Source organism: Homo sapiens, chromosome 13 (genome assembly GCF_000001405.40).
Source record: "Homo sapiens chromosome 13, GRCh38.p14 Primary Assembly".
NCBI classification, from domain to species: Eukaryota; Metazoa; Chordata; class Mammalia; order Primates; family Hominidae; genus Homo; species Homo sapiens.
Window position 1 is genome coordinate 57,136,329 of NC_000013.11, and position 22,930 is coordinate 57,159,258.

General features: G+C 47.8%; 3 protein-coding genes and 1 long non-coding RNA gene across 4 annotated transcripts, besides 1 other annotated feature; 3 read left to right on the forward strand and 1 right to left on the reverse strand.

Annotated features, from left to right (window-relative positions):
* Positions 1-758: 758 nt before the first annotated feature.
* On the reverse strand, positions 759-1,410 carry LOC124903235 (uncharacterized). Its single transcript, XR_007063920.1, has 2 exons — positions 1,343-1,410; positions 759-852 (listed from the first exon to the last, which is right to left on the reverse strand). It is a non-coding gene; the product is annotated as an uncharacterized LOC124903235 (long non-coding RNA).
* Positions 1,411-4,589: 3,179 nt separating this feature from the next.
* Positions 4,590-7,611, forward strand: PRR20A (proline rich 20A). Its single transcript, NM_198441.2, has 3 exons — positions 4,590-4,803; positions 4,958-5,028; positions 6,050-7,611. Exons 2-3 carry the CDS (start codon positions 4,977-4,979, stop codon positions 6,661-6,663), a joined length of 666 nt encoding a protein of 221 aa, NP_940843.1. The 5' UTR covers positions 4,590-4,803; positions 4,958-4,976; the 3' UTR covers positions 6,664-7,611.
* A 3,548-nt stretch (positions 7,612-11,159) lies between these two features.
* Positions 11,160-14,181, forward strand: PRR20B (proline rich 20B). Its single transcript, NM_001130404.1, has 3 exons — positions 11,160-11,373; positions 11,528-11,598; positions 12,620-14,181. The coding sequence occupies exons 2-3, from the start codon at positions 11,547-11,549 to the stop codon at positions 13,231-13,233; spliced, it is 666 nt and encodes a 221-aa protein (NP_001123876.1). The 5' UTR covers positions 11,160-11,373; positions 11,528-11,546; the 3' UTR covers positions 13,234-14,181.
* Positions 16,327-16,621: a silencer, noted in NCBI's record as "tiled region #3887; K562 Repressive non-DNase unmatched - State 24:Quies". NCBI's record gives its function as "represses a minimal TATA promoter and a strong SV40 promoter by Sharpr-MPRA in K562 cells {active_cell/tissue: K562}" and the evidence as "EXISTENCE:reporter gene assay evidence [ECO:0000049][PMID:27701403]".
* On the forward strand, positions 17,733-20,754 carry PRR20C (proline rich 20C). The gene is made up of 3 exons (NM_001130405.1): positions 17,733-17,946; positions 18,101-18,171; positions 19,193-20,754. The coding sequence occupies exons 2-3, from the start codon at positions 18,120-18,122 to the stop codon at positions 19,804-19,806; spliced, it is 666 nt and encodes a 221-aa protein (NP_001123877.1). The 5' UTR covers positions 17,733-17,946; positions 18,101-18,119; the 3' UTR covers positions 19,807-20,754.
* The last annotated feature ends 2,176 nt before the right edge of the window (positions 20,755-22,930 follow it).

A 22,930-nucleotide genomic window follows, 5' to 3' on the forward strand; every position in this document is an offset into this window, starting at 1 on the left:
CGTGTCCTCAAGGGCAACAAGTTCCAAATAAGGGCTCAAATTTCAACATCAATTTCAGAAAAAGAAGTGTGGAGCAAATTAAATAGCTGAACTTGAATTGCTCATGATTAATATAATCTGAAAATAAATGTTTTGTTTAAATCACTGAGATTTGAGACTTCTTTGTTAATGAAACAAAACTGAGTAATACCATAATATTACAATACAAGCACTGAATGTTCAGTTCTATTTAAAAGCTTGAACAACCTGAAATTATGCCCATACATTTTTGTTGTTGTTGTTGTTTTTGGCCAATATTTCAAAAGACCTTTAAGGGGTATTCATATATGGAGGTAAAATAAAATAAATTAATCTTTTAGACAATAAATGCCATTTGAAAAACTGAAATAATCAAAAAATTATATCTGGTAAATTTTTTAATGGTTTATACTTGATTATAATCTGGTCTTTACTGTAGAGAATAATAAAGAGTTTAAGTTATATATTTGTTTTATCAACTTGAATATATTATTATTTATTTCACAACTGGGTTATGTTACTTTGGAGAATTTGCTTTTTTTTGATATTGACTTGAGTTTTCCTCCAATTATTTATCAGATTATTTATCTTCATTATAAATTACATAATGAACACATATAAACAACATTGATACACTGCTCTTAATGTGATAGTAAACAAAATATCATCTGTCATGTTTCCTGAAAAAGAAGTCAATTTTAAAATTAGAATCTTCTGACAATAAGAAGAAATGCAATAAATCTCTTAACACATCAATTAAAGTTTTACTCTTTTCTCATGGAGTTGAGAATTTGTCTTCATTATGGAGTTTCTCCTATCCTTCAAAGTTGAGTCCTAGAAAAAAAAAATGTCTTAAGAAATACTTCCTTTTTTAAAAATTTGGCTTTTGCTTTCTGAATCACGGTATTGGCCAACTCAGCATTTTGATATTTATTGAAAGGCCTTTATAAGGCAATTATTGCCTTTGGCTTGCCTTTCATATTCATTTTACTATAATTTTATGCTTCTCCAAGATCTCGTAATGTAAATCAGTGTAGTGAATATTGCTAGCATTAACATCAAACAAATTTTTGTAGTATAACATTTTCACATTCTTATCAGAAACAATGCTAGTTAGTTGCATTTTAAAATCTTGTTAAACAGTTACAATCATTTAAATGCATTTACCTGAGTAAATATATCTAACAGCTAATGCCTATTCAAGCAAATATATCTCAATAAAAGTGTCTGTAATTCTATTTATTTGTACATTTATTTTATCTCTTCTGTGTTTTTGTAACGAAGCCTGTATTTCATAAAAATCACAAGACTTTGTTTTACTTACTTTCTTTCTCTTCGTTCTTTTCTTTCTCCATGCATGCTTGCTTGCATGTAGTAGTTTCAGTAGGGAGTAGTCACTAGCAATTGATTAACTTCACATCCCAACCTCCAAGCACAGCCCATAGGATTCATAAACTTGTTTGTCTTTCAAAGAACAATGAACCTTAGACCATGCAGACCTCTTTGATGGCAACTAGAAGTCGGATCAGGCCAAAGGACGCAAACAGCTTTGATTATAAGGGCATCTCACCCCTCACATACATACCTTACTCATAAAATCCACCAAATATGTTCAAAGACAGGTAGGATTTGAGAGATTTCTCTCTCCTGCCCTCTTGTTTTGGCCAAATTGAATAAAACTCTCTCTGCTCCTAGGAGCTGAGGTGTCAGTTTTTGGTTTACTATGTATCAGGAACATTAACCTAAATTGGGGGATTCTACAACATTTTGAACCAAGTATATGTGTTTCCCAAAATTGTTTATTACTTCATAATTTTTCTATTCAGACAGTGATGATTGCTAAAAACTAAGGTGTCCCCAAGTGCAACATTGTTTCTAGATCATAAACCCAATGTGAAGCAGAATAGTATGTGTTTTGCTCAATATTTTACCCCTAGTCCCTAGACACTGCTTAGCCTGTAGTCATTAAAGGGACATCAGTGGAAGGACACCAACAACAACAACAACAAAAAAAAAAAAAAAAAAAAAAAAGAGGAAGAAGAAGAAGGAGGAAAGAAGGAAAGCAGAAAGGTGAGGATGAGCCAGGTTAGATATTGGGTTGTCAGTCAATTAATACAATCATGTCTAACACTTCTAAAAACACAGAAAGAAAATTTACAAGTCTCAACATTAGGTACTATTGCTCATTTTCTCTTTGACCTGCATGAAATTAAGAACTTGTTAAAATTCTTGGGATCTTAATTCAGACACAAAATATATAGATTTATCAAGTATATATGAAATACCGTATAGTCTTCCATGCCATCTTCACTACCCCATCCACCTTATCCATCATGTCTTCCACCTCCCAACTCTGTGTGTGCCCTTGCATCCCCTGAATTAAGAACGTGCTATCTCTGGAGGGATATTCACAGGATAGAGGATTCCTTCCAAGCAGGAAACTGAATGTTGCATGAGGAACACTTCTCGCCACTGATACAAAAGTTGAAGGATTGTGGGATGGGTGGAGCAGGGGTGAGGGAATTTTTTTCTTTAATTTTTGTTTAAATTATGCTTTAAGTTCTGGGATACATGTGCAGAACGTGCAGCTTTGTTACATAGGTATAAAGGTGCCATGATGTTTTGCTGCACCCATTAACCCATCATCTACATTAGGTATTTCTCCTAATAGTCTCCCTCCCCTAGATTCCCAGTCCCTCACAGACCCCAGTGTGTGATATTCCCCTCCCTGTGTCTATGTATTCACATTGTTCGACGCCCACTTATGAGTGAGCACATGTGATATTTGGTTTTCTTTTCCTGTGTTAGTTTGCTGAGATGGGAGGTTGACAAAGGGACACGGAAGCCAACTAAAGGAGCTCCCGGTGGCCAAAGCTGGAAACATTGAGTAACAAAGTAATTACCTAAATAATTAATAATTAAATAGTTAAGTAAAATACTTGACAAAATAATTAGTTCAATTATTAAATAATTCATCCCCTGAAGTACTGGAGTGTAAACCAAAGCATACAATAGGTGTCCATAAGTCCATACGGATATAAATAAGTGATTAAATAAACAAACATGTGGGGGAGAATGGGAAAATCCTCCACACAGGAGAACTCCACAGAACTTAGGTAGCTATTCCCCTGCAAGGAGATAAAGCAAAACTTCCCTTTTCTTTACGTATAGGCTACAGGTAGCGACTTCCAGAAAGCACAGTAGAGAAAGAGGTGGGAAAATCACTTTATGGTGGAGAAACCTAATCAACACTGCCCCAGCCCGGTGACCAGGACTAATAGCAGCAGTGATAAGCCGGCTTGATGGTGTGTACTCTAGACAGGATGGGATGGGAATGGCGCTTTCCCGCTGCAATCTTCCTGACAAAAACATATAATTCCAGTCAGATCACAAGGAATACATCACACGAACTTCAGGAGAGGACATCCCACAATATATCTGATCAGTATTCAAAGTGTCAGAGTCATCAAAAACAAGGCAAGTGTGAGAAACCGTCGCAGCCAAGGGGAACCGTGACGAGTTGTAAGGTGGTACCCTGGATGGGGTCTTGGGACAGAAAAGGTATGTGAGGTGAAAGCATAGCAAAACCTCACTTCAACAGGAAATACAACCCAAAAAAGTAATTGGCCCGGCATGGTGGCTTGCGCCTGGGGTCCCAGCGACTCGGGAGGTTGAGCGGGACGGACGGCTTGAGCTCAGGCCTTCCAAACAAGCCTGGGCACATAGCGAAAACTCGTCTCTCCAAAAAAATCCGAAAATTATCCCGATGTGGTGGCGCTCACCTGTAGTCCAGCTACTCCGGAGGCCGAGACAGGAGAATCACTTGAACTGATTCTCCTATCTCAGCCACCCCCCCCCAACCCCCCCAAGTAGCCGCAGCGAGCCGAGATGGCACCGCTGCACTCCAGCCTGGGCTACAGAGCGAGAACCAGTCTCTGTAAAAAACACAAGGATGCAAACCAACCAAATAACCCACTGTGGGATCCCCTCCAGCGTCCTGCTGTGTTTCCCGCTGTCTTCCTCCACCCGTGAGTGCACCCACAGCAATAAAAGCCAGCGGTGTGGGTCTCACACGCATCTCCAGCCCCGTCTCACACGCACCACCTCCGGGCCTGGACTTGGCCTCCCGTCCATTCCCAGAATGTGCCGGGCTCCCTTCCAGTCCGGGCCTCAGCACACTCTCTTCACTCCCCTTCCTCCCTCCCTGCCTCTCCCAACCCGGTTCAGGATGACTAATTTCAAACGTTATGTTCCAGATTTCAGCCCAGATATCCCCGCTTTGGATGCTTTCCTTGACCATGCTCAGATCTAAGCTAATCGCATCTTCCTGTCAGCCGCTTTCAGGGCACCACACCTCATTGTGCTGACACTCAGAGGTCATTATGCAATTTTTTTTCCTCGATGATTAGATTAATCAATCAACCACGGACGTCTAGAAATGGCGGCATCTCAGAAGGGCCCCCATTTGACTGGCAGGGGACTGGCCCAATGCGCCTCGCAAGCCCAGCCAGGCCCGCCCCAGCCGGCCCCCCTCTGACGACGCCTGTCCCTTACGCGACTGCCTTGCTGCCATATAAGAGGGACGGCGCTCGGCCTCCAGCAGTCGGCTTTCTGCTGGGCTCGGAGCCAGAACCTGCTGCGTGCTCCCTCCAGACTCCCTGGCTGCGGGTGGACTACCTCAGAGCTACAGCGGTGAACCTGTGGACACCTCCGACTCCTCGGGCCTCTCTTCGTCGAAGAGTCTCCTAATTTTCAGATCTCCGGAGCCAGCTGTGGGAAGATCAGGTGTGTGTCTGGGGGTCCCGGAGGCGTGGACGGATCTCGGGTGGGTGCAGTTGGGGACAGAATCCTCATTCCCCTAGAAAGGCCACGGCCATCCCCCTGCCTTGTCACCTCTGTCTTCCTAAATCCGTTCTTGCTCTCTTGTTTTTCTCCCCAGCCCCTCCCGCCGATTGCTCATGGAGGAACCAAGGCCTTCGAAGCGACTTCGCTCCATGGCCCCTAATCAAGGTACATCAAACGCCTGCCACTCCTCTCTTTTTAATTTCGTCTGTTCCCCAATTCTTCCCCAATGGTTGACACTCAAACTCAATCAAGCATTCTCTGTTTCACCTTCTCCTAGCCTGCCTCAACCTGGGCTGCTTGTTGGAAGTCAGCTCCCGGGTTCCACATCATCTGGGAAATTCCTTTCCCTCTTCCGAACCGTAATCCCATTTCCCAAATCTGAGATTTGCTGTTGTTGTCGCTGTTTCCTTCTGTTTAGTTTTGTATTACTGTTTCTCCGTAGCAGAGCGAGTCCTCACGCTACGTCTTGATCTATGATAAACCGGTACTTCCACCTTGTTCTTTCCCGGAGGAGTTGGAATTTTCCGGCTGTTGCCACGTTGTTCTCCAAAACTTTTCCCTTCATACGCTGAGTGTCCTAAATCTTTTAATCTTGTCTAGTTTGACAGATGCATAACAATAAAGCATCCACTGAAAGGAAATTCTTTAACATCTTGCTTGTCTGAAACATCTTCATTCTCCCCTCCCAGATTCTTCAGCGAAACTTCGGTTGGACAGGAAATTTTAGGTGGGAAATTCATTTCCCTTGAAATTTCGAAGACATTTTCTGTTATGTTCTAGACTGAACTGCTGCTTTTGAGATGTCTGACTTTTGAGACATGTGGAATCCTAGCCCTTTCCATGTGACTTTTCCTTTCTCTGTCTCCCGCTCTCTAGAATCTGTTAGAATCTTCTCTTTTTCCTCAGCACTCTGAAATTTTCTGGTGAAATGTCTCAGCCACAGCATACCTCTAATTCTCTTATATTTCATCCTTCTTTCCATCATTTTAGGTTTTTGCTTTGTTCTGTGGGAGACCTTCTCAACTTCATTCTCCAACTTCCGTGGAGAGTTTTGTTTCTTCTCTCACAATTTTAACTTCAGAAATCCCTCTTTTCTCTGAGTATTTATTTGTAAAAGTATCCTATAACTGCTTGACGGGTGAAGTTCCTTCTGTCTCTCTCTGCTCACGCTCCGCTTCTCTTTTAGCCTCAGGTGGGCCTCCTCCAGAGCCAGGCTGCTGTGTTGCGGACCCTGAAGGCTCCGTGGAAGCAGATGGGCCCGCACAGCCAGCCCAACCCGCAAAACCCATCGCTTACGTGAAACCCTTCAGACGGCAGCCCCCAGCTCGCCCAGAGTCACCCCCTCCTGCAGAGAGAGGCCGGCGCCGGGGAGGAAGCCGGCGGCCAGGGCGAGGCCGTGGCAGAAGGGCTGGGCCCCGCGGGGACGCTGGCCAGAGACAGGGGGCAGAAGGCTTGATGGCACCGGACGTGCACATCCAACTGGACCACCATGGAGAGCCAGGCCACCAGGGGGAACCGGAAATCACGGAGACCGCAGCCTTCTCCCTTTCTGAAACAGGTCCTCCGCCTGGAACTGTGCAGGAAGGCCCTGGCCCCGACGTGGCGCAACCTGAGCTGGGGTTTCAGGAGCCGCCCGCTGCTCCTGGGCCTCAGGCTGTTGACTGGCAACCCGTCTTGACCCTCTATCCCTGCATCGGGTTTAGGGCTCTGGGTGACTCAGCGGTTTTACAAGTCATTCAAACCCCCCAGGGCACCTACGTGCAAGGGGTCCCAGTGTTCCTCACCGACATTGCGTATTGACCACTATCTGCCACCCACGTTGTTCCCAGCCTCCCTTCCTTCCACCTGGACGTTCCCCCCAGCCCCACTTCTGCTCCACTCCTCCCCCGACTGGACCTGAAGCCTGAGCTTCCCCTGAACTTGGAGTACGCAACTTACAACATGCAAGCTGCCAAACACCCTTTCTGTACAAGGCGATTGGAATGGAACTGTCATGTACAGTGAAAGTACACGTCACGTTTTTCAGCCAAGAAGAAGCCAACCCAGACAACCTGGAAGAAGTGGGATGCAACAAGGATCACTAAGCATGGAAATTAGGAAACTGTATTCTTAAGTCCAGAGAAGTACGATTCTGGAAAAAGGATTGATGACCTAGAATTAAAATTCCAGAAGACACTCATATAGACATGTGGGACATGCGAAAACTCAGAAGGAGCTAGAAGTTACTAAAGTGCTTCTCTAGTGCCTGGAGACGATAGACTGGCTGAATATAAGAGCAATAAAAATCTAGACTGACACATTTTTAAGTCTCAACGTGGGTACCCTTTGGGAACCACTAAATGAATTGGAATAGAAGGTAAAATTTCAAACAGATTGAGGAAAAAGGGGATCAAAGGACATGTGACGAATCAGACAAAAGGTGTTGGGGTGGGGGGGGGGGCGGTTAACGGAAGCAAGGAGAGTGCATGACTCACTGGAACCGCTAAACCAGGAATCAGTAATTTGACGGCAGTGTCCTTGGCTTCCTCCTGGCTTTAATGGGAATATTTTGAATGTTTCACCATTAACCAAGATGTTGGCTGTAGGTGTCTCTTAGATGTTTAAGTTGAGTTAGTTCCCATCTTTTCAGAGTTTGATAAATGTTGTATTATGAACTTTTGTATTTTGTATTTTATTAGGTAGGCTGTTGTTGGCTGGTTTTCACTCCTTTGTAAACGTCCAAATAAAATACAGATAACTTTTTACATCAAAGATTTTTCTCTTGTGTACTCAATCCTTCTAAATAAACCTTTCTCTTCAGACTTATTTTATAGAACAGTTCTTTCACTAAACTTTCACAAATCGCAAATACAAAATGTGTTTACTAAAAGCAGAAAGGAAGGTAGAAAAATGGCTCCAGTCTCTGTTCTCCATTCATATCGCATCTTTCCCCATAGTCACACAAGTCTACACCAACAAACGTGTACATTGAGAGCATCGTTTGTGGCTCGCTTTTACAAACACCTGGCGTGCCATGCGCCAGGGGTCCTGCTGAAGTGACTATAAGGTCCAGGCAGGCAACACAGGTGTGGTCAGGACCAGAGCCTCTGTGGAGTCCGTGCGTCTCCAAACTAGGAACAGGCGACTTCGTATTGAAGCATGGCATGGAGCACAATGAGCACTGTGCAGTGGGAGCTGCTTCTTGGCTTGCCATTGGGGTCTGTCATCCATAAGCCAGAAAGCCCCCTTGCAGTCATCCTACGCACATGTGCCACTATCTTCTTGCTGTATATCTGTCTGGAAAGATGCACAGCTTTTACATTATGCAGGTGGTGGTCTGCTGATACGCTACTTCCAGGATATTTCTACCACCAGAATGCTTCACTAAACATTGGTACGTGGAGTAAGACAGGGTCTCATTCCGTCATCCAGGCTGGAGTGCAGTGGTGCAATCACAGCTCAGCGCAGCCTGCGCCTCCTCAGCTCGGGTGATCCTCCAACATCAGGTTGCCAAGTAGCTCAGACTGCAGGCAGGCACCAAGAGCCCTTGGTAATTCCTCCTGGTTTATTTATTCGTTCATTTATTTATTTATTTATTTTGAAACAGACTCTCACTCTTTCACCCAGGCTGGAGCGCGGTGGCTTCGGCTCACTGAGAACTCCATTCCCGGGACTGAAGCGATTCTCATGTCTCGCCCTAATAAAAATAGGAAAATTAGCCAGGCATGGTGGTGGGCCACTGTAGTCCCAGCTGCTCGGGAGGCTGAGGCGGGAGAATCCTTTGAGCCCAGGAGGCGGAGGTTGCAGTGAGCCCAGACTGCGCCATTGCAGTGATCCGAGATCATGCTATTGCACTCCAGCCTGGGTGACAAGAGCAAAACTTTGTCTCAAAATGGAAAAAAGAGAGAGAGAAGTTATCCCAATAAGAAAGATAAAAGTTTTGAAGAGAAACTTCACAGAAGAATCTATGGGTTCGGTCAGTGAGCACACGAAATCCCAATAAGGATGAGAATATGCAAATAAGCATGGAGCATCCTGTGGTGCCAGGGAGAAAGGAGCCGCCCAAAACCAAACAAAGCCAAAAGCCACAGCGATGGGAGGTTGACAAAGGGACACGGAAGCCAACTAAAGGAGCTCCCGGTGGCCAAAGCTGGAAACGTTGAGTAACAAAGTAATTAGCTAAATAATTAATAATTAAATAGTTAAGTAAAATATTTGACAAAATAATTAGTTCAATTATTAAATAATTCATCCCCCGAAGTACTGGAGTGTAAACCAAAGCATACAATAGGTGTCCATAAGTCCATACGGATATAAATAAGTGATTAAATAAACAAACATGTGGGGGAGAATGGGAAAATCCTCCACACAGGAGAACTCCACAGAACTTAGGTAGCTATTCCCCTGCAAGGAGATAAAGCAAAACTTCCCTTTTCTTTACGTATAGGCTACAGGTAGCGACTTCCAGAAAGCACAGTAGAGAAAGAGGTGGGAAAATCACTTTATGGTGGAGAAACCTAATCAACACTGCCCCAGCCCGGTGACCAGGACTAATAGCAGCAGTGATAAGCCGGCTTGATGGTGTGTACTCTAGACAGGATGGGATGGGAATGGCGCTTTCCCGCTGCAATCTTCCTGACAAAAACATATAATTCCAGTCAGATCACAAGGAATACATCACACGAACTTCAGGAGAGGACATCCCACAATATATCTGATCAGTATTCAAAGTGTCAGGGTCATCAAAAACAAGGCAAGTGTGAGAAACCGTCGCAGCCAAGGGGAACCGTGACGAGTTGTAAGGTGGTACCCTGGATGGGGTCTTGGGACAGAAAAGGTATGTGAGGTGAAAGCATAGCAAAACCTCACTTCAACAGGAAATACAACCCAAAAAAATAATTGGCCGGGCATGGTGGCTTGCGCCTGGGGTCCCAGCGACTCGGGAGGTTGAGCGGGACGGACGGCTTGAGCTCAGGCCTTCCAAACAAGCCTGGGCACATAGCGAAACCTCGTCTCTCCAAAAAAATCCGAAAATTATCCCGATGTGGTGGCGCTCACCTGTAGTCCAGCTACTCCGGAGGCCGAGACAGGAGAATCACTTGAACTGATTCTCCTATCTCAGCCCCCCCCCCCCCCCCGCCCCACCCCAAGTAGCCGCAGCGAGCCGAGATGGCACCGCTGCACTCCAGCCTGGGCTACAGAGCGAGAACCCGTCTCTGTAAAAGACACAAGGATGCAAACCAACCAAATAACCCACTGTGGGATCCCCTCCAGCGTCCTGCTGTGTTTCCCGCTGTCTTCCTCCACCCGTGAGTGCACCCACAGCAATAAAAGCCAGCGGTGTGGGTCTCACACGCATCTCCAGCCCCGTCGCCATCGCGCTGAGCTCGACTCTTTTTACAAAAGGCCACTTGACATCCTCACTTGGCAGTTCAAAAGCCCCTTCAACCAGATGTGCGCAAGCCAAGCTCCGCAACTTCCCGTTCAGAGCAGGTTCTCGGTCCACCTCTGCCTGAATGAACCGGCGGGCTACCAAGGCCGCAGTCTCTTCCTCAAGGGCTGTCCACACTGGGTCTCGCTTTCTCTTGGAAATTTCTCTCCCACCAGGGAACTTTCTCCTCCTCTACCTCCCTGAGTCTCAGTCTAACAGCACCCTGCGCCCAACCCCGAGGGCTGCAATAGCCTTCTTGCCTCTCCTGACTTATTCTGCGGACCCTGGGTTGGCGCTCCTTCACAGCCAGGCTGGTCGTTTCTGAAATGTTAACCCGCTGCCGGACACCGTTCCACGGTTTTCCGCTGCCTTGGAACAAGACCAGCTCCTGCGCGGACCCTGCCTCCACCTCGCACCACCTCCGGGCCTGGACTTGGCCTCCCGTCCATTCCCAGAATGTGCCGGGCTCCCTTCCAGTCCGGGCCTCAGCACACTCTCTTCACTCCCCTTCCTCCCTCCCTGCCTCTCCCAACCCGGTTCAGGATGACTAATTTCAAACGTTATGTTCCAGATTTCAGCCCAGATATCCCCGCTTTGGATGCTTTCCTTGACCATGCTCAGATCTAAGCTAATCGCATCTTCCTGTCAGCCGCTTTCAGGGCACCACACCTCATTGTGCTGACACTCAGAGGTCATTATGCAATTTTTTTTCCTCGATGATTAGATTAATCAATCAACCACGGACGTCTAGAAATGGCGGCATCTCAGAAGGGCCCCCATTTGACTGGCAGGGGACTGGCCCAATGCGCCTCGCAAGCCCAGCCAGGCCCGCCCCAGCCGGCCCCCCTCTGACGACGCCTGTCCCTTACGCGACTGCCTTGCTGCCATATAAGAGGGACGGCGCTCGGCCTCCAGCAGTCGGCTTTCTGCTGGGCTCGGAGCCAGAACCTGCTGCGTGCTCCCTCCAGACTCCCTGGCTGCGGGTGGACTACCTCAGAGCTACAGCGGTGAACCTGTGGACACCTCCGACTCCTCGGGCCTCTCTTCGTCGAAGAGTCTCCTAATTTTCAGATCTCCGGAGCCAGCTGTGGGAAGATCAGGTGTGTGTCTGGGGGTCCCGGAGGCGTGGACGGATCTCGGGTGGGTGCAGTTGGGGACAGAATCCTCATTCCCCTAGAAAGGCCACGGCCATCCCCCTGCCTTGTCACCTCTGTCTTCCTAAATCCGTTCTTGCTCTCTTGTTTTTCTCCCCAGCCCCTCCCGCCGATTGCTCATGGAGGAACCAAGGCCTTCGAAGCGACTTCGCTCCATGGCCCCTAATCAAGGTACATCAAACGCCTGCCACTCCTCTCTTTTTAATTTCGTCTGTTCCCCAATTCTTCCCCAATGGTTGACACTCAAACTCAATCAAGCATTCTCTGTTTCACCTTCTCCTAGCCTGCCTCAACCTGGGCTGCTTGTTGGAAGTCAGCTCCCGGGTTCCACATCATCTGGGAAATTCCTTTCCCTCTTCCGAACCGTAATCCCATTTCCCAAATCTGAGATTTGCTGTTGTTGTCGCTGTTTCCTTCTGTTTAGTTTTGTATTACTGTTTCTCCGTAGCAGAGCGAGTCCTCACGCTACGTCTTGATCTATGATAAACCGGTACTTCCACCTTGTTCTTTCCCGGAGGAGTTGGAATTTTCCGGCTGTTGCCACGTTGTTCTCCAAAACATTTCCCTTCATACGCTGAGTGTCCTAAATCTTTTAATCTTGTCTAGTTTGACAGATGCATAACAATAAAGCATCCACTGAAAGGAAATTCTTTAACATCTTGCTTGTCTGAAACATCTTCATTCTCCCCTCCCAGATTCTTCAGCGAAACTTCGGTTGGACAGGAAATTTTAGGTGGGAAATTCATTTCCCTTGAAATTTCGAAGACATTTTCTGTTATGTTCTAGACTGAACTGCTGCTTTTGAGATGTCTGACTTTTGAGACATGTGGAATCCTAGCCCTTTCCATGTGACTTTTCCTTTCTCTGTCTCCCGCTCTCTAGAATCTGTTAGAATCTTCTCTTTTTCCTCAGCACTCTGAAATTTTCTGGTGAAATGTCTCAGCCACAGCATACCTCTAATTCTCTTATATTTCATCCTTCTTTCCATCATTTTAGGTTTTTGCTTTGTTCTGTGGGAGACCTTCTCAACTTCATTCTCCAACTTCCGTGGAGAGTTTTGTTTCTTCTCTCACAATTTTAACTTCAGAAATCCCTCTTTTCTCTGAGTATTTATTTGTAAAAGTATCCTATAACTGCTTGACGGGTGAAGTTCCTTCTGTCTCTCTCTGCTCACGCTCCGCTTCTCTTTTAGCCTCAGGTGGGCCTCCTCCAGAGCCAGGCTGCTGTGTTGCGGACCCTGAAGGCTCCGTGGAAGCAGATGGGCCCGCACAGCCAGCCCAACCCGCAAAACCCATCGCTTACGTGAAACCCTTCAGACGGCAGCCCCCAGCTCGCCCAGAGTCACCCCCTCCTGCAGAGAGAGGCCGGCGCCGGGGAGGAAGCCGGCGGCCAGGGCGAGGCCGTGGCAGAAGGGCTGGGCCCCGCGGGGACGCTGGCCAGAGACAGGGGGCAGAAGGCTTGATGGCACCGGACGTGCACATCCAACTGGACCACCATGGAGAGCCAGGCCACCAGGGGGAACCGGAAATCACGGAGACCGCAGCCTTCTCCCTTTCTGAAACAGGTCCTCCGCCTGGAACTGTGCAGGAAGGCCCTGGCCCCGACGTGGCGCAACCTGAGCTGGGGTTTCAGGAGCCGCCCGCTGCTCCTGGGCCTCAGGCTGTTGACTGGCAACCCGTCTTGACCCTCTATCCCTGCATCGGGTTTAGGGCTCTGGGTGACTCAGCGGTTTTACAAGTCATTCAAACCCCCCAGGGCACCTACGTGCAAGGGGTCCCAGTGTTCCTCACCGACATTGCGTATTGACCACTATCTGCCACCCACGTTGTTCCCAGCCTCCCTTCCTTCCACCTGGACGTTCCCCCCAGCCCCACTTCTGCTCCACTCCTCCCCCGACTGGACCTGAAGCCTGAGCTTCCCCTGAACTTGGAGTACGCAACTTACAACATGCAAGCTGCCAAACACCCTTTCTGTACAAGGCGATTGGAATGGAACTGTCATGTACAGTGAAAGTACACGTCACGTTTTTCAGCCAAGAAGAAGCCAACCCAGACAACCTGGAAGAAGTGGGATGCAACAAGGATCACTAAGCATGGAAATTAGGAAACTGTATTCTTAAGTCCAGAGAAGTACGATTCTGGAAAAAGGATTGATGACCTAGAATTAAAATTCCAGAAGACACTCATATAGACATGTGGGACATGCGAAAACTCAGAAGGAGCTAGAAGTTACTAAAGTGCTTCTCTAGTGCCTGGAGACGATAGACTGGCTGAATATAAGAGCAATAAAAATCTAGACTGACACATTTTTAAGTCTCAACGTGGGTACCCTTTGGGAACCACTAAATGAATTGGAATAGAAGGTAAAATTTCAAACAGATTGAGGAAAAAGGGGATCAAAGGACATGTGACGAATCAGACAAAAGGTGTTGGGGTGGGGGGGGGGGCGGTTAACGGAAGCAAGGAGAGTGCATGACTCACTGGAACCGCTAAACCAGGAATCAGTAATTTGACGGCAGTGTCCTTGGCTTCCTCCTGGCTTTAATGGGAATATTTTGAATGTTTCACCATTAACCAAGATGTTGGCTGTAGGTGTCTCTTAGATGTTTAAGTTGAGTTAGTTCCCATCTTTTCAGAGTTTGATAAATGTTGTATTATGAACTTTTGTATTTTGTATTTTATTAGGTAGGCTGTTGTTGGCTGGTTTTCACTCCTTTGTAAACGTCCAAATAAAATACAGATAACTTTTTACATCAAAGATTTTTCTCTTGTGTACTCAATCCTTCTAAATAAACCTTTCTCTTCAGACTTATTTTATAGAACAGTTCTTTCACTAAACTTTCACAAATCGCAAATACAAAATGTGTTTACTAAAAGCAGAAAGGAAGGTAGAAAAATGGCTCCAGTCTCTGTTCTCCATTCATATCGCATCTTTCCCCATAGTCACACAAGTCTACACCAACAAACGTGTACATTGAGAGCATCGTTTGTGGCTCGCTTTTACAAACACCTGGCGTGCCATGCGCCAGGGGTCCTGCTGAAGTGACTATAAGGTCCAGGCAGGCAACACAGGTGTGGTCAGGACCAGAGCCTCTGTGGAGTCCGTGCGTCTCCAAACTAGGAACAGGCGACTTCGTATTGAAGCATGGCATGGAGCACAATGAGCACTGTGCAGTGGGAGCTGCTTCTTGGCTTGCCATTGGGGTCTGTCATCCATAAGCCAGAAAGCCCCCTTGCAGTCATCCTACGCACATGTGCCACTATCTTCTTGCTGTATATCTGTCTGGAAAGATGCACAGCTTTTACATTATGCAGGTGGTGGTCTGCTGATACGCTACTTCCAGGATATTTCTACCACCAGAATGCTTCACTAAACATTGGTACGTGGAGTAAGACAGGGTCTCATTCCGTCATCCAGGCTGGAGTGCAGTGGTGCAATCACAGCTCAGCGCAGCCTGCGCCTCCTCAGCTCGGGTGATCCTCCAACATCAGGTTGCCAAGTAGCTCAGACTGCAGGCAGGCACCAAGAGCCCTTGGTAATTCCTCCTGGTTTATTTATTCGTTCATTTATTTATTTATTTATTTTGAAACAGACTCTCACTCTTTCACCCAGGCTGGAGCGCGGTGGCTTCGGCTCACTGAGAACTCCATTCCCGGGACTGAAGCGATTCTCATGTCTCGCCCTAATAAAAATAGGAAAATTAGCCAGGCATGGTGGTGGGCCACTGTAGTCCCAGCTGCTCGGGAGGCTGAGGCGGGAGAATCCTTTGAGCCCAGGAGGCGGAGGTTGCAGTGAGCCCAGACTGCGCCATTGCAGTGATCCGAGATCATGCTATTGCACTCCAGCCTGGGTGACAAGAGCAAAACTTTGTCTCAAAATGGAAAAAAGAGAGAGAGAAGTTATCCCAATAAGAAAGATAAAAGTTTTGAAGAGAAACTTCACAGAAGAATCTATGGGTTCGGTCAGTGAGCACACGAAATCCCAATAAGGATGAGAATATGCAAATAAGCATGGAGCATCCTGTGGTGCCAGGGAGAAAGGAGCCGCCCAAAACCAAACAAAGCCAAAAGCCACAGCGATGGGAGGTTGACAAAGGGACACGGAAGCCAACTAAAGGAGCTCCCGGTGGCCAAAGCTGGAAACGTTGAGTAACAAAGTAATTAGCTAAATAATTAATAATTAAATAGTTAAGTAAAATATTTGACAAAATAATTAGTTCAATTATTAAATAATTCATCCCCCGAAGTACTGGAGTGTAAACCAAAGCATACAATAGGTGTCCATAAGTCCATACGGATATAAATAAGTGATTAAATAAACAAACATGTGGGGGAGAATGGGAAAATCCTCCACACAGGAGAACTCCACAGAACTTAGGTAGCTATTCCCCTGCAAGGAGATAAAGCAAAACTTCCCTTTTCTTTACGTATAGGCTACAGGTAGCGACTTCCAGAAAGCACAGTAGAGAAAGAGGTGGGAAAATCACTTTATGGTGGAGAAACCTAATCAACACTGCCCCAGCCCGGTGACCAGGACTAATAGCAGCAGTGATAAGCCGGCTTGATGGTGTGTACTCTAGACAGGATGGGATGGGAATGGCGCTTTCCCGCTGCAATCTTCCTGACAAAAACATATAATTCCAGTCAGATCACAAGGAATACATCACACGAACTTCAGGAGAGGACATCCCACAATATATCTGATCAGTATTCAAAGTGTCAGGGTCATCAAAAACAAGGCAAGTGTGAGAAACCGTCGCAGCCAAGGGGAACCGTGACGAGTTGTAAGGTGGTACCCTGGATGGGGTCTTGGGACAGAAAAGGTATGTGAGGTGAAAGCATAGCAAAACCTCACTTCAACAGGAAATACAACCCAAAAAAATAATTGGCCCGGCATGGTGGCTTGCGCCTGGGGTCCCAGCGACTCGGGAGGTTGAGCGGGACGGACGGCTTGAGCTCAGGCCTTCCAAACAAGCCTGGGCACATAGCGAAACCTCGTCTCTCCAAAAAAATCCGAAAATTATCCCGATGTGGTGGCGCTCACCTGTAGTCCAGCTACTCCGGAGGCCGAGACAGGAGAATCACTTGAACTGATTCTCCTATCTCAGCCCGCCCCGCCCCCCCCCCCCCCCCCCCCAAGTAGCCGCAGCGAGCCGAGATGGCACCGCTGCACTCCAGCCTGGGCTACAGAGCGAGAACCCGTCTCTGTAAAAGACACAAGGATGCAAACCAACCAAATAACCCACTGTGGGATCCCCTCCAGCGTCCTGCTGTGTTTCCCGCTGTCTTCCTCCACCCGTGAGTGCACCCACAGCAATAAAAGCCAGCGGTGTGGGTCTCACACGCATCTCCAGCCCCGTCGCCATCGCGCTGAGCTCGACTCTTTTTACAAAAGGCCACTTGACATCCTCACTTGGCAGTTCAAAAGCCCCTTCAACCAGATGTGCGCAAGCCAAGCTCCGCAACTTCCCGTTCAGAGCAGGTTCTCGGTCCACCTCTGCCTGAATGAACCGGCGGGCTACCAAGGCCGCAGTCTCTTCCTCAAGGGCTGTCCACACTGGGTCTCGCTTTCTCTTGGAAATTTCTCTCCCACCAGGGAACTTTCTCCTCCTCTACCTCCCTGAGTCTCAGTCTAACAGCACCCTGCGCCCAACCCCGAGGGCTGCAATAGCCTTCTTGCCTCTCCTGACTTATTCTGCGGACCCTGGGTTGGCGCTCCTTCACAGCCAGGCTGGTCGTTTCTGAAATGTTAACCCGCTGCCGGACACCGTTCCACGGTTTTCCGCTGCCTTGGAACAAGACCAGCTCCTGCGCGGACCCTGCCTCCACCTCGCACCACCTCCGGGCCTGGACTTGGCCTCCCGTCCATTCCCAGAATGTGCCGGGCTCCCTTCCAGTCCGGGCCTCAGCACACTCTCTTCACTCCCCTTCCTCCCTCCCTGCCTCTCCCAACCCGGTTCAGGATGACTAATTTCAAACGTTATGTTCCAGATTTCAGCCCAGATATCCCCGCTTTGGATGCTTTCCTTGACCATGCTCAGATCTAAGCTAATCGCATCTTCCTGTCAGCCGCTTTCAGGGCACCACACCTCATTGTGCTGACACTCAGAGGTCATTATGCAATTTTTTTTCCTCGATGATTAGATTAATCAATCAACCACGGACGTCTAGAAATGGCGGCATCTCAGAAGGGCCCCCATTTGACTGGCAGGGGACTGGCCCAATGCGCCTCGCAAGCCCAGCCAGGCCCGCCCCAGCCGGCCCCCCTCTGACGACGCCTGTCCCTTACGCGACTGCCTTGCTGCCATATAAGAGGGACGGCGCTCGGCCTCCAGCAGTCGGCTTTCTGCTGGGCTCGGAGCCAGAACCTGCTGCGTGCTCCCTCCAGACTCCCTGGCTGCGGGTGGACTACCTCAGAGCTACAGCGGTGAACCTGTGGACACCTCCGACTCCTCGGGCCTCTCTTCGTCGAAGAGTCTCCTAATTTTCAGATCTCCGGAGCCAGCTGTGGGAAGATCAGGTGTGTGTCTGGGGGTCCCGGAGGCGTGGACGGATCTCGGGTGGGTGCAGTTGGGGACAGAATCCTCATTCCCCTAGAAAGGCCACGGCCATCCCCCTGCCTTGTCACCTCTGTCTTCCTAAATCCGTTCTTGCTCTCTTGTTTTTCTCCCCAGCCCCTCCCGCCGATTGCTCATGGAGGAACCAAGGCCTTCGAAGCGACTTCGCTCCATGGCCCCTAATCAAGGTACATCAAACGCCTGCCACTCCTCTCTTTTTAATTTCGTCTGTTCCCCAATTCTTCCCCAATGGTTGACACTCAAACTCAATCAAGCATTCTCTGTTTCACCTTCTCCTAGCCTGCCTCAACCTGGGCTGCTTGTTGGAAGTCAGCTCCCGGGTTCCACATCATCTGGGAAATTCCTTTCCCTCTTCCGAACCGTAATCCCATTTCCCAAATCTGAGATTTGCTGTTGTTGTCGCTGTTTCCTTCTGTTTAGTTTTGTATTACTGTTTCTCCGTAGCAGAGCGAGTCCTCACGCTACGTCTTGATCTATGATAAACCGGTACTTCCACCTTGTTCTTTCCCGGAGGAGTTGGAATTTTCCGGCTGTTGCCACGTTGTTCTCCAAAACTTTTCCCTTCATACGCTGAGTGTCCTAAATCTTTTAATCTTGTCTAGTTTGACAGATGCATAACAATAAAGCATCCACTGAAAGGAAATTCTTTAACATCTTGCTTGTCTGAAACATCTTCATTCTCCCCTCCCAGATTCTTCAGCGAAACTTCGGTTGGACAGGAAATTTTAGGTGGGAAATTCATTTCCCTTGAAATTTCGAAGACATTTTCTGTTATGTTCTAGACTGAACTGCTGCTTTTGAGATGTCTGACTTTTGAGACATGTGGAATCCTAGCCCTTTCCATGTGACTTTTCCTTTCTCTGTCTCCCGCTCTCTAGAATCTGTTAGAATCTTCTCTTTTTCCTCAGCACTCTGAAATTTTCTGGTGAAATGTCTCAGCCACAGCATACCTCTAATTCTCTTATATTTCATCCTTCTTTCCATCATTTTAGGTTTTTGCTTTGTTCTGTGGGAGACCTTCTCAACTTCATTCTCCAACTTCCGTGGAGAGTTTTGTTTCTTCTCTCACAATTTTAACTTCAGAAATCCCTCTTTTCTCTGAGTATTTATTTGTAAAAGTATCCTATAACTGCTTGACGGGTGAAGTTCCTTCTGTCTCTCTCTGCTCACGCTCCGCTTCTCTTTTAGCCTCAGGTGGGCCTCCTCCAGAGCCAGGCTGCTGTGTTGCGGACCCTGAAGGCTCCGTGGAAGCAGATGGGCCCGCACAGCCAGCCCAACCCGCAAAACCCATCGCTTACGTGAAACCCTTCAGACGGCAGCCCCCAGCTCGCCCAGAGTCACCCCCTCCTGCAGAGAGAGGCCGGCGCCGGGGAGGAAGCCGGCGGCCAGGGCGAGGCCGTGGCAGAAGGGCTGGGCCCCGCGGGGACGCTGGCCAGAGACAGGGGGCAGAAGGCTTGATGGCACCGGACGTGCACATCCAACTGGACCACCATGGAGAGCCAGGCCACCAGGGGGAACCGGAAATCACGGAGACCGCAGCCTTCTCCCTTTCTGAAACAGGTCCTCCGCCTGGAACTGTGCAGGAAGGCCCTGGCCCCGACGTGGCGCAACCTGAGCTGGGGTTTCAGGAGCCGCCCGCTGCTCCTGGGCCTCAGGCTGTTGACTGGCAACCCGTCTTGACCCTCTATCCCTGCATCGGGTTTAGGGCTCTGGGTGACTCAGCGGTTTTACAAGTCATTCAAACCCCCCAGGGCACCTACGTGCAAGGGGTCCCAGTGTTCCTCACCGACATTGCGTATTGACCACTATCTGCCACCCACGTTGTTCCCAGCCTCCCTTCCTTCCACCTGGACGTTCCCCCCAGCCCCACTTCTGCTCCACTCCTCCCCCGACTGGACCTGAAGCCTGAGCTTCCCCTGAACTTGGAGTACGCAACTTACAACATGCAAGCTGCCAAACACCCTTTCTGTACAAGGCGATTGGAATGGAACTGTCATGTACAGTGAAAGTACACGTCACGTTTTTCAGCCAAGAAGAAGCCAACCCAGACAACCTGGAAGAAGTGGGATGCAACAAGGATCACTAAGCATGGAAATTAGGAAACTGTATTCTTAAGTCCAGAGAAGTACGATTCTGGAAAAAGGATTGATGACCTAGAATTAAAATTCCAGAAGACACTCATATAGACATGTGGGACATGCGAAAACTCAGAAGGAGCTAGAAGTTACTAAAGTGCTTCTCTAGTGCCTGGAGACGATAGACTGGCTGAATATAAGAGCAATAAAAATCTAGACTGACACATTTTTAAGTCTCAACGTGGGTACCCTTTGGGAACCACTAAATGAATTGGAATAGAAGGTAAAATTTCAAACAGATTGAGGAAAAAGGGGATCAAAGGACATGTGACGAATCAGACAAAAGGTGTTGGGGTGGGGGGGGGGGCGGTTAACGGAAGCAAGGAGAGTGCATGACTCACTGGAACCGCTAAACCAGGAATCAGTAATTTGACGGCAGTGTCCTTGGCTTCCTCCTGGCTTTAATGGGAATATTTTGAATGTTTCACCATTAACCAAGATGTTGGCTGTAGGTGTCTCTTAGATGTTTAAGTTGAGTTAGTTCCCATCTTTTCAGAGTTTGATAAATGTTGTATTATGAACTTTTGTATTTTGTATTTTATTAGGTAGGCTGTTGTTGGCTGGTTTTCACTCCTTTGTAAACGTCCAAATAAAATACAGATAACTTTTTACATCAAAGATTTTTCTCTTGTGTACTCAATCCTTCTAAATAAACCTTTCTCTTCAGACTTATTTTATAGAACAGTTCTTTCACTAAACTTTCACAAATCGCAAATACAAAATGTGTTTACTAAAAGCAGAAAGGAAGGTAGAAAAATGGCTCCAGTCTCTGTTCTCCATTCATATCGCATCTTTCCCCATAGTCACACAAGTCTACACCAACAAACGTGTACATTGAGAGCATCGTTTGTGGCTCGCTTTTACAAACACCTGGCGTGCCATGCGCCAGGGGTCCTGCTGAAGTGACTATAAGGTCCAGGCAGGCAACACAGGTGTGGTCAGGACCAGAGCCTCTGTGGAGTCCGTGCGTCTCCAAACTAGGAACAGGCGACTTCGTATTGAAGCATGGCATGGAGCACAATGAGCACTGTGCAGTGGGAGCTGCTTCTTGGCTTGCCATTGGGGTCTGTCATCCATAAGCCAGAAAGCCCCCTTGCAGTCATCCTACGCACATGTGCCACTATCTTCTTGCTGTATATCTGTCTGGAAAGATGCACAGCTTTTACATTATGCAGGTGGTGGTCTGCTGATACGCTACTTCCAGGATATTTCTACCACCAGAATGCTTCACTAAACATTGGTACGTGGAGTAAGACAGGGTCTCATTCCGTCATCCAGGCTGGAGTGCAGTGGTGCAATCACAGCTCAGCGCAGCCTGCGCCTCCTCAGCTCGGGTGATCCTCCAACATCAGGTTGCCAAGTAGCTCAGACTGCAGGCAGGCACCAAGAGCCCTTGGTAATTCCTCCTGGTTTATTTATTCGTTCATTTATTTATTTATTTATTTTGAAACAGACTCTCACTCTTTCACCCAGGCTGGAGCGCGGTGGCTTCGGCTCACTGAGAACTCCATTCCCGGGACTGAAGCGATTCTCATGTCTCGCCCTAATAAAAATAGGAAAATTAGCCAGGCATGGTGGTGGGCCACTGTAGTCCCAGCTGCTCGGGAGGCTGAGGCGGGAGAATCCTTTGAGCCCAGGAGGCGGAGGTTGCAGTGAGCCCAGACTGCGCCATTGCAGTGATCCGAGATCATGCTATTGCACTCCAGCCTGGGTGACAAGAGCAAAACTTTGTCTCAAAATGGAAAAAAGAGAGAGAGAAGTTATCCCAATAAGAAAGATAAAAGTTTTGAAGAGAAACTTCACAGAAGAATCTATGGGTTCGGTCAGTGAGCACACGAAATCCCAATAAGGATGAGAATATGCAAATAAGCATGGAGCATCCTGTGGTGCCAGGGAGAAAGGAGCCGCCCAAAACCAAACAAAGCCAAAAGCCACAGCGATGGGAGGTTGACAAAGGGACACGGAAGCCAACTAAAGGAGCTCCCGGTGGCCAAAGCTGGAAACGTTGAGTAACAAAGTAATTAGCTAAATAATTAATAATTAAATAGTTAAGTAAAATATTTGACAAAATAATTAGTTCAATTATTAAATAATTCATCCCCCGAAGTACTGGAGTGTAAACCAAAGCATACAATAGGTGTCCATAAGTCCATACGGATATAAATAAGTGATTAAATAAACAAACATGTGGGGGAGAATGGGAAAATCCTCCACACAGGAGAACTCCACAGAACTTAGGTAGCTATTCCCCTGCAAGGAGATAAAGCAAAACTTCCCTTTTCTTTACGTATAGGCTACAGGTAGCGACTTCCAGAAAGCACAGTAGAGAAAGAGGTGGGAAAATCACTTTATGGTGGAGAAACCTAATCAACACTGCCCCAGCCCGGTGACCAGGACTAATAGCAGCAGTGATAAGCCGGCTTGATGGTGTGTACTCTAGACAGGATGGGATGGGAATGGCGCTTTCCCGCTGCAATCTTCCTGACAAAAACATATAATTCCAGTCAGATCACAAGGAATACATCACACGAACTTCAGGAGAGGACATCCCACAATATATCTGATCAGTATTCAAAGTGTCAGGGTCATCAAAAACAAGGCAAGTGTGAGAAACCGTCGCAGCCAAGGGGAACCGTGACGAGTTGTAAGGTGGTACCCTGGATGGGGTCTTGGGACAGAAAAGGTATGTGAGGTGAAAGCATAGCAAAACCTCACTTCAACAGGAAATACAACCCAAAAAAATAATTGGCCCGGCATGGTGGCTTGCGCCTGGGGTCCCAGCGACTCGGGA

What these genes read in the sequence shown, in the direction of transcription:
- PRR20C (NM_001130405.1), top strand. Translation starts at nt 18,120, where the DNA reads ATGGAGGAACCAAGGCCTTCGAAGCGACTTCGCTCCATGGCCCCTAAT. An exon ending in CTCCATGGCCCCTAATCAAG is followed by an intron (nt 18,172 to 19,192) that starts GTACATCAAACG and finishes CTTCTCTTTTAG; the next exon opens with CCTCAGGTGGGCCTCCTCCA.
- PRR20A (NM_198441.2), top strand. Translation starts at nt 4,977, where the DNA reads ATGGAGGAACCAAGGCCTTCGAAGCGACTTCGCTCCATGGCCCCTAAT. An exon ending in CTCCATGGCCCCTAATCAAG is followed by an intron (nt 5,029 to 6,049) that starts GTACATCAAACG and finishes CTTCTCTTTTAG; the next exon opens with CCTCAGGTGGGCCTCCTCCA.
- PRR20B (NM_001130404.1), top strand. Translation starts at nt 11,547, where the DNA reads ATGGAGGAACCAAGGCCTTCGAAGCGACTTCGCTCCATGGCCCCTAAT. An exon ending in CTCCATGGCCCCTAATCAAG is followed by an intron (nt 11,599 to 12,619) that starts GTACATCAAACG and finishes CTTCTCTTTTAG; the next exon opens with CCTCAGGTGGGCCTCCTCCA.